The sequence below is a fragment of the Homo sapiens genome, chromosome 13, assembly GCF_000001405.40.
Source record: "Homo sapiens chromosome 13, GRCh38.p14 Primary Assembly".
In the NCBI taxonomy this organism is placed as follows: domain Eukaryota; kingdom Metazoa; phylum Chordata; class Mammalia; order Primates; family Hominidae; genus Homo; species Homo sapiens.
The window spans coordinates 113,884,172-113,894,041 of NC_000013.11; positions in this window are offsets into that span (position 1 = coordinate 113,884,172).

The following is a 9,870-nucleotide window of genomic DNA, read 5'->3' on the forward strand; positions in this document are numbered from 1 at the left end:
TGACGCTTATGCCCAGTTGGACAGCCCAGACCAGGCTCGGAGCCCCATCCCCTCCAAGGCGGGCCGGGGTAGATTCACGCCAGCGTCTCCCTTGAGGCCAGGCTCTGGCATAGGAGAGTGATTCCTCTGGGAGGTCCGGGGTCCCGAGCCCCGGGAATGCCGGCTGAGGGGCACGCGACCCCTCTTCACGGAACCCTCATGCGCTGAGGCGGCCGCAGAGGCCCGGTGACCAGCAGGGCGCCCGATGGTGGGCGGGGGGCCAGCGCGCGGGGGCGCCGGCAGCCGGGAGGACAGCGGGGTGCTGGGTTTCTTAGGGAGGGTCTGCCTGCTCCCTGCTACCCGGCCATCCCAGGGCCCGGCCAGCGCCTGCTGCTCTCTCCACCCACCCGCCCCTGGCCCCTGCCCGCGAAGGCCTCTGCTGTTTCAGCAGGAGGCTCTGTGAGTCTCGGTGCAGCTGTGAGCTGCATTGCCCAAGTGCAGGTGCCCGGCAATGTCCTCCACAGCCGTGTCCTCACTCCCAGCATCGTGGGCACATGGTCCATATTCAGTGTTTATTGAATGAAAGAAAGAATTAGCCTGACTTTGTTGTTGTTGTTATTATTGACTTAAAACAACACAAATCTGTCGTTTTACAGTTCTGAAATGGCAGCGTTGCCCTCTAGGCTCTGTCGGGAGGCACTGGGGGGTCCATCTCTGTCTCCCTTGGTTCCTGCCCCTTAACCCATCCTCACAGCCACAGCACAGCAGTGTCCAGTCTCTGCCTCAAGCCTTTCCGTCCTTAGGAGGACCCTGCAGGTTACCTGGGCCCCACCAGGTCATCAGGAGCATCTCCCATCTCAAGATTCATCACCGAGTTCCCTATGCAGAGTCCCTGGTGCGGTGTAAGCAAGCAATCCACAGGTTCCAGCGGGTGGGGTGTGGATATCAGGCATGCGTGTTCTTCCAAGCTTGCAAAAGTTACACAAATGTATGCCATGAGGGTTAGAGGTGAGGACATAACTCCAAAGCAGACTCCAGGTCTTCCCAGGCCACACATTCTCTTCCCATCATTAATTGGAATTGGAATTCGTTTTTGTGCCATAGCGTATGTTTCAAAGTCACGTTCAGGTGAATCATTAAATGCTACCAACCATAGACAATAAAATAATAAAATCTAAAAGTTCATGTAAGAAGTCGCTTTTTAGAACCCCAATATTCCAGGTGCTGGGGTTGCTTCTGTTGTTCTTACTCAGAAGCAGTCTTTGCTTCAATATGCTTTTCTTATCTGAGGAATTTGAGCCCTTTAAAAATATCAGGCCCTGGGAGACATTAAAACGAGACCACTGGCTGCACACAGTGGCTCATGCCTGTAATCCCAGCACTTTGGGAGGCCAAGGCGGGCAGATCACAAGGTCAGGAGTTGAAGACCAGCCTGACTAATATGGTGAAACCCCGTCTCTACTAAAAATACAAAAATTAGCCGGGCATAGTGGCAGGCACCTGTAGTCCCTTGGGAGGGTGAGGCAGGAGAACTGCTTGAACCCAGGAGGTGAAGGTTGCAGTGAGCTGAGATCGTGCCACTGCACTCCAGACTGGGCAACAGAACAAGACTCCGTTTCAAAAAAAAAAAAAAAAAAAAAACAAGACCGCAGCCACTTCCCACTCCCCCTTGAGCTGTGGGTTCATCCCTTGGAACAGCGCAAATGAAGCCCACAATGCTGCATGCTGGACTCCATAACCCATGCCCACAGCTCAACAATGTGTAGCTCATCACTAAGCAGTGTTACTTCTGTAAACCAATGATATATTTTTTAACTGTAATTATTAGGTAAAATTAACACTACTTTACAATTATATGTATCACTTTACATTTTACAAAGTTATTAAGTAGACATTCATTTTGATGCCCTGAAGTAAATTTAACTTCTTTGCCCTCCTTCTCCCCTCCATCAAGAACAGAGTGAGGAATACTTAGTTGGGAAAGGCAAAATAAATGCATCAGTCTGTACAGAACCACAAAGAATAAATGGGAGGAAGGCAGGACCTTGAAGAGGCCACAGGGACCTCAAGGAAGGAGAAAACCAGAACGTTAAACACGAGGAAAGCCCAGGGGTCACAGGAGCGTTAGGCACCATACGGAGCAGGCTGTGTTCATGACATAAAAGGAGGGACACACAGCATAAATTTCACATTCTAAAATAATATGAAAAGACCATAACTGAAGAGCTGAAGTTGAACTTTGTGGTTTCTCAGAACACAAGTAGATGATGACCACCAACCATGGTTTCTAAATGAACTGGGTTCAAAATGTATCTGGTGGCAACAGAGGGCTTCTTTGGACCCTGGCATTAGAAGCATAACAAGGTAATTTGAGGAGCTGCTATTTCACAAGGTGGTGGCATCCCGGGGAGCTTCTATTCCATGAGTCAAGTTCAATATCTCACCACCGTGGAAAAGGAGTTTCCAAGCAGGAACGAGCAGTATCACTGGGAAGCCGATATTTGGGCCATCCTTGGAGATCCCTGCTGTGAGGACGGCAGGTGTTCCTCCCGTGAAAGCACTAAACTGGGTGTGACTCAGGGCCAGGTGGGAATTCACACATGTATCTGGTTGATGGCAAGGCGGAGACGTGTGCCCCCGTGAGTCCTGTTCCATGTTGGTCTGCATGAATGGAGGCTCTGCAGACAGACCCTCGGACTGCATCTCCAAAGACTGAACCTGGACCCTGGGGGGTCCTGCTGCCTCCTGGTATTTCAAGGACGATGACCATCACGAGGGGAAAGGCGGGCCTGGCCACCGTCCTGTCACTGACACACTTGCTCCTGGTAAGAATTCCTGATGAACAACTTGGTGTCAGGCCAGTCCCTGAACCCCCTTTTTGCCTTTGAAAACCTGCTTGCAACAAAGGGCCCAGGGGGCACTCCCCAAGGCAAGCTGGGCATACGTTGGGGAAAGTCATCCTCAGCTCAGTGCAAATAAATCACATTAGTTTTGCCTCAGTTTCTTCCTTTAGTTTGGTAACAGAAAAATTGAGCAGTAAGTACAGTGTCCCCATGTGTTCCCTCCCCACCACCACAGTTTTCCCTAAGAGCTTGCAGGCTGGGCTTGGTGGCTCACACCTATAATCCCAACACTTTGGGAGGCTGAGGTGGGAGGATGACTGGAGGCCAGCAGTTTGAGACCAGCCTGGGCAACAAAGTGAGACCCCATCTCTACAAAAAAAAAAAAAAATTAGCTGGCGTGGTGCATGCCTGTACTCCCAGCTACTTGGGAGGTTGATTGCTTGAGCCCAGGAGGTCGAGGCTGCAGTGAGCTAAGATCACACCACTGCACTCCAGCCTGGGTGACAGAGTGAGACCCTGTCTCTAAAACAATAATAATAAACAAATGACAGCTTGCATGAGTGTGACCCATTTGTTACAATAGGTGAAGCTACACTGAGACATTACTGTCACCCAAACTCCATGGTCTGCACTACACCCACTCTGTGTGTTGGATGGATATGTCACGGCTGTGTCCACCACTCTAGCATTGCAGCCGCCTCAGTGCTTTAAACTCATCTGTGCTCCCAATTCACCCCTCCCTCCTCCCTCACCCCTGGCAACCACTCCTCTCTTACTGTCTCCATAGTTTTGCTTTTCCCAAAATATCATATGGTTGGAATCACAGTGTGCAACCATTTCAGATTGGCTCCTTTTACTTAGCAAACACAGCTACAGTTCCTTCATGTCTTTTCTGGGCTTGGCAGCGCATTTTGTTTTGTCACTGGCTAGTATTCCATTGTCTGGGTGAACCAGTTTCCTTATCCATTCACCCATGAAAGGTCATCTGGTTGCTTCCAAGTTTGGCAATTATGAATAAAGCTGCTATAAACATTTGTGTGCACATTTTTGTGTGGTTTTGAACTCATTTGGGTAATCTCTTGGAGCATAATTTCTGGGTTGTATGGCATGATCTTGTGATGTACATTTGGTCCTTTTCCCATTTCCCAGACATACAGCTCCTAAAGCCTTGGAATCTGTGGAGTGACAACATCTTTTGTGTGCTAATGAGATGACTGGGGGCTGGGGACGCCTGGACAGCCTCAGGATGGAGCAGGTCACCAGAGGAACCAGCCATGTGCATAGAGGGTTGGAACTTGTGGTCCCATCCCCAACCTCTAGGGAGGGGAGAAGGCTGAAGGTCAAGTTGATCACCAGTGGACAGTGATTTAACAAATCATGCCTACATGATAGCCTCCATAAAATCCCAAAAGGACAGAGTTCAGAGAGCTTCTGGTTGGTGAGTACATGGAGGTCCCTGGAGTGGTGCCCACAGAGAGTGTGGAAGCCCTGCACCCCTTCCCACGCGCCTCTCCCGGTGCATCTCTTCCAAATGGCTATTCATTTACATCCTTTTATCATGCGTGAGTGAACATAAGTAAAGTGTTTCCCTGAGTTCTGTGAGCCATTCTAGCAAGTAATCTAACACAAGGAGGGCCATGAGAACCCCGCATTAATAGCCAGAAGGTTGGAAGCACTGGTGAAATGACCTGGGACTTGCAATTGGCATTGGAAATAAGGGCCATCTTGTGAGGCAAATACCTCAACCTGCAGCATCTGTGCTAACTTTAGTTAGTGTCAGAATTAAATTGAATTATGGGGCACTGTTGGTGTGCACTGGAGAATTGCTTGGTGTGAAACCACTGTTGCAAAATTGTGACAGTAAGAGAAATCTAACATTGTTGACTCCATCTTGCTTCTGACCTCCAAGCTCTCTTTGGTCATTTCTGGGTGTAGGCCAAGCTAACTTCAGGAGGAATTATAGTTCCACTTGAAAGCAAGGATAATAATAGTCCCTCCCTAAAACTAACTCCTTCCTTGCTCAAGGACTGAAAACCGCCTTTGTAAGACTATTGAAAGCTACAAGAATAGGATTATGGGAGGAACTGAAATCTGCTGAGATGTAGGCATGCTTTCTATAACCCCTTACTGCTCAGGAGTCATGTGAGCAGAGGTCACAAGACTTGTGTCTTTACCAATTGCTTCTATAGATTGGGGTCCCCAACAGGTACTACTCCATGGCCTGTTAAAAACCAGGAGGCACAGCAGGAGGTGAGAGGCAGGCGAGCAAGCATTACCGCCTGAGCCCTGCCTCCTGTCAGATCAGCGGTGTCATTAGATTCTCATAGGAGTGCAAACCCTATTGTGAACTGCACATGAGAGGGATCTAGGGTTGTGAGCTCCTTATGAGAATCCAATGCCTGATGATCTGAGGTGGAATAGTTTCATCCCAACACCTTCCCCCACACCCTCTGGTCTGTGGAAAAATTGTCTTCCTCAAAACCTGTCTCTGGTGCCAAAAAGTTTGGAGACCACTGCTATAGATAACATCATTACTGTAGAACCTAAGATTGGTTTTTGAGATGTTTTTAGATTGACCCCACCTGGACTCCTGTCTCATGACTAGGCTGGTCCTGTGGCCCCACCCAGAGGCTGACTCAGCACATGAGGACTGTTTTCCACGCTCCTGTGATTTCGTCCCCAACCACTTAGCAGCACCCAATTCCATAACCCCCTGTCCACCTAATTGTCCATAAAAACCCTAACCTCTAAGCCTTTGGAGAGACTGATTTAAGGGATAGCTCCAGCTCTCCCGTGTGGGCCGGCCTCACATCAATCAAACTCTTTTCTCTACTACAATGCCATGGTCTCATGAATAGATTTTGTCTGTATGGCAGGCAGGAAGAACCCGTCAGGCAATTACAGGTGTGTGGAGAAAGCCCCTCCACATTTTGAGGACCAGAAGTGTTCTGTGTTGACAGTATAGCAGGAGAAGAAAGTTTGGTTTGTTTTCATTATATATATGTGGTAAAGGTTGCTTAGTTTTATAAGAAACTGCCAAATGTTTTCCAAAGCAGTTGCAACATTTTGCACTCCCACCAGCAATGAACAAGAGTTTCTGTTGCTCCTAATCTTTCCTAGCATTTGGTGTTCATATTTTATACTTTAGCCATTCTAATGGGTGTGTAGTAGTAGCTCATTGTGGTGTTTGTTTGTTTGTGTTTGTTTGAGATGGAGTTTGCTGTGTCATTCAGGTTGGAGTGTGGTGGCATGATCATGGCTGACCACAGACCCAATCTCCTGGGCTCAAGCAATCCTCCCACCTCAGCCTCCTGAGTAGCCAGGACCACAGGTGTGTGCCACCATGCCCAGCTAATTTTTAAATTTTTTGGTAGATGGTGTCTCACTATGTTGCCAAGGCTGGTCTTGAGTTCATTGCCTCAAGCAATCTCCTGCCTTGGCCTCCTTTAGCACTGGGATTACAAGAGTGAGCCATGGGCCTGGCCTCATTGCTGTTTTAATTTGTAATTCTCAAATGACATACGATGTGCAGCATCTTTTCATGGGCGTAATTGCCATCTGTATATTTTCTTTGGTGAGGTGTCTGTTCAGATCTTTGGCCCACTTTTTAACTGGGTTGTTTTTTTCCTATTGTCAAATTTTAAGAGTCTTTTGTACATTTTAAGTTCCATTCCTTTATCAGGTATGTGTTTTGTAAATATTTGCTTCTAGTCTGTGGCTTGTCCTTTCATTCTCTCAACAATGTCTTTAACAGAGCAGTTTTTAATTTTGATGGAGTCCAGCTTATCAATTCTTTCTTTTATGGATTGTAAACCAAAAATAAAATCCTAAGCCCCCCAACTGACTGAACAGACCCCTCTTGGCCAATAGGATCCCAGAGAAACCTGAAAAACTAAATTCCAGGCCATGATGGGAAGAGAGGTCAGACACACCTCATTATAACCCCTCCCTGTTGGGGTTTAGGCACAGCTAACTAACATTTACATTAAAATAGAGATCATGAAACTGACAGAGAAGACTCTGTGGCAGTAAGATACCAAATTCCAACCGACTCTGGCATAGCATCACATGACAGATAGCAAACCCTGAAGAAAATGAAAATATTTTATCCCATGGTATATTTCTTTGACATATTTGTAAATGGCCCTGCAAAGCCACCTTTTGTAGGGGAAATTCGCATCTGTAGAGAATCTCCATTAATACAGCCAGGACTTCCCCAGATCTAGGAGAGATTAATTGAAACTCTGACAACTTTCAAGGTCCAAAAAGGGACTTTTACCATCCATTCTCTCTGAAGCCTGCTATCTGGAGGCTTCATCTACATAACAAGAACCTTGGCTTCCACAACCCCTCTTATCTTAACTCAAGCATTTCTTTCTACTGACTTCAAGTCTTCAGACAAAGCTTAACTCTTTCAACCAACTGCCAAACAGAAAATCTTTGAATTCACTTATGACCTATAAGCCCCTGCTTCACAATGTCTCACCTTTCTGGGATCAATCAATATATACCTTCTGAGTATTGATTTATGCCTTTGCTTATAATTTCTGTCTCTCTAAAACATATAAAACCAAACCATAACCTGACCACCTCAGACACACTTTCTCAGGACCTCTTAAGACTGTTCCCCAGGCCATGGTCACTCACATTGGCTCAGAATAATCCTTTTAAAATATTTCGCAGAGTTTAGTTTTGTCATCAACAGGATCATGCCTTTGGTGTTGTATCTAAAAAGTTATTGCCATACCCAAGGTCATCTAGATTTTCTCCTATGTTATCTTCTAGGGGTTTTATAGTTTTACATTTTACGTTTAGGTCTATGATCCATTTTGAATAAATTTTTAGTGAAAAGTGTAGAATCAGTATCTAATTTCACTTTTTAAACTTTGCATGTGGATATCCAGTTGTTCCAGCACCATTTGTTGAAAAGACTATCATTTCTCATTTGAATTGTCTTCGTTTCTTTTCAAACATCAGTTGGCTATATTTGTGTGGGTCTTTTTCTGGACTTTCTGTTCTGCTCCAATGATCCATTTGTCTATTATTTCAACAGCACCACATAGTCTTGATTACCATAGCTGTATAGTAAGTCTTGAAGTCAGGTAGTATCAGTTCTGTGACTTTGTTTTTCTTCAGTATTGTGTTGGCTATTCTGGGTCGTTTGCCTTTCTACATAAACTTTAAAATCAGTTTCCTGGTATTCACAAAATAACTTGCTGGAATTTTGAATGGAATATATTGACTCTATAGCAAGTTGGGAAGAACTGGCATCTTGACAATACTGAGTCTTCCTATCCATGAACATGGAATAGTTCTCCATTTTCTTGGATTTTAAAAATTTATTTCATTAAAGTTTTGTAGTTTTCCTTATATAGATCGTATACATATTTTGTTAGATTGCACCTACATATTTTTCTTTTTTTAACTTGGGGCTAATGTAAATGGTTTTTTTTTTTAATTTTAAATTTCAGTTGTTCATTGCTCATATATTGGAAAGCAATTGATATTTTATTTATAGTCCTTGGATTCTGCAATCTTCTTATAGTCACTTATTAGTTTAAGGAGGAGTTTTAAAATTGTTGATTCTTGGGCATTTTCTATCTGAACAATCATGTCATCTGCAAACAAAGAAAATTTTATGTCTTCTAATCTGCATACATTTTATTTACTTTTCTTGTCTTATTGCATTTTAATATGATGTTGAATAGGAGCAAGTGAAAAGAAACATCTCTGCCCTTTCCTAATCTTGGGGGAAAAGTGTCTAGTTTCTCACCATTAAGTATGACATTAACTGTAGGTTTTTGTAGATATTCTTTGTCAAATTGAGGGAGTTCTCTATTCCTAGTTTTTTGAAAGTCTGTATCATGAATGGGTGTTGGATTTTTGTCAAATGTTTTTTATCCATCTACTGATATGATCATATGACTTTTCTTCTTTAGCCTGTTGATGTGATTAATTTCACTACTAATTTTGGATGTTGAACCAGCCTTGCGTAAGTGGAATAAAGCCCATTTGATCATGGTGCAGAATTCTTTTTATACATTGTTGAATTTAATTTGCTAATATTTTGTTGAGAACTGTTGCATCTATGTTCATGAGAGATATTGGTCCTTAGTTTCCCTTTCTTGTACTGTCTTTGATTTTGATATTAGAATAATGCTGGCCTTATAAAATGAATTAGGAAGTATTCTCTCTGTTTCTGTTTTCTGGAGCAGATAGTAGAAAACTGGTATAATTTCTTCCTTAAATGTTTGGTAGAATTCACCAGTAAGCCTTTCTGGTCTTGGTGTTTTGTCTTTGGGAAGATTATCAGTTATCGATCCAATTTCTATAAGAAATATGTCTATTAAGATAATCTATTTCTCCTTGTTGTGAGTTTTGGTAGATTGTGTCTTTCAAGTAACTAGTCAGTTTCATCTAGGTATCAAATTTCTGGGCATAGAGTTGTTCATTATATTCATGTATTATCCTTTTAATGTCCACGGGATCTATAGTGATGTCCCTCTATCATTTCTGATGTTAGAGGTTTGTGTCTTCTCTTTTTTTTTTCTTGACTAGTCTGACTAAAGGTTTATCAATTTTATTAATGTTTTTAAAGAACCAAATTTTGATTTCATTGATTTTCTTTATTGTTTTTCTGTTTTCAATTTCATTGATTTCTGCTCTGATTTTTATTATTTTTTTCTGCTTACTTTACATTTGATTTGCTCTTCTTTTTCTAGTTTCTTAAGATGGAATTTTAAGTTATTTACTTTAGATGTTTATTCTTTTCCAATATATTCATCCAATGCTGTAAATTTCCCTCTAAGCTCTGTTTTCACTGATTCTCACAAATTTTGATAGGTTGCATTTTCATTTTCATTTAGTTCAAAATACTTTTTAATTTCTCTTGAGGTTTCTTTGACCCACATATCGGGCTGATTCTTTTCTTATCAGCTCACTGATGAACCCATTAAACACACTCTTCACTTCTGTTACAGTGTTTATAATTTCTTGCATTTCCTTTTTACACTTTCTTTGCATTTCAATTTTACCTATTCATTTTTTA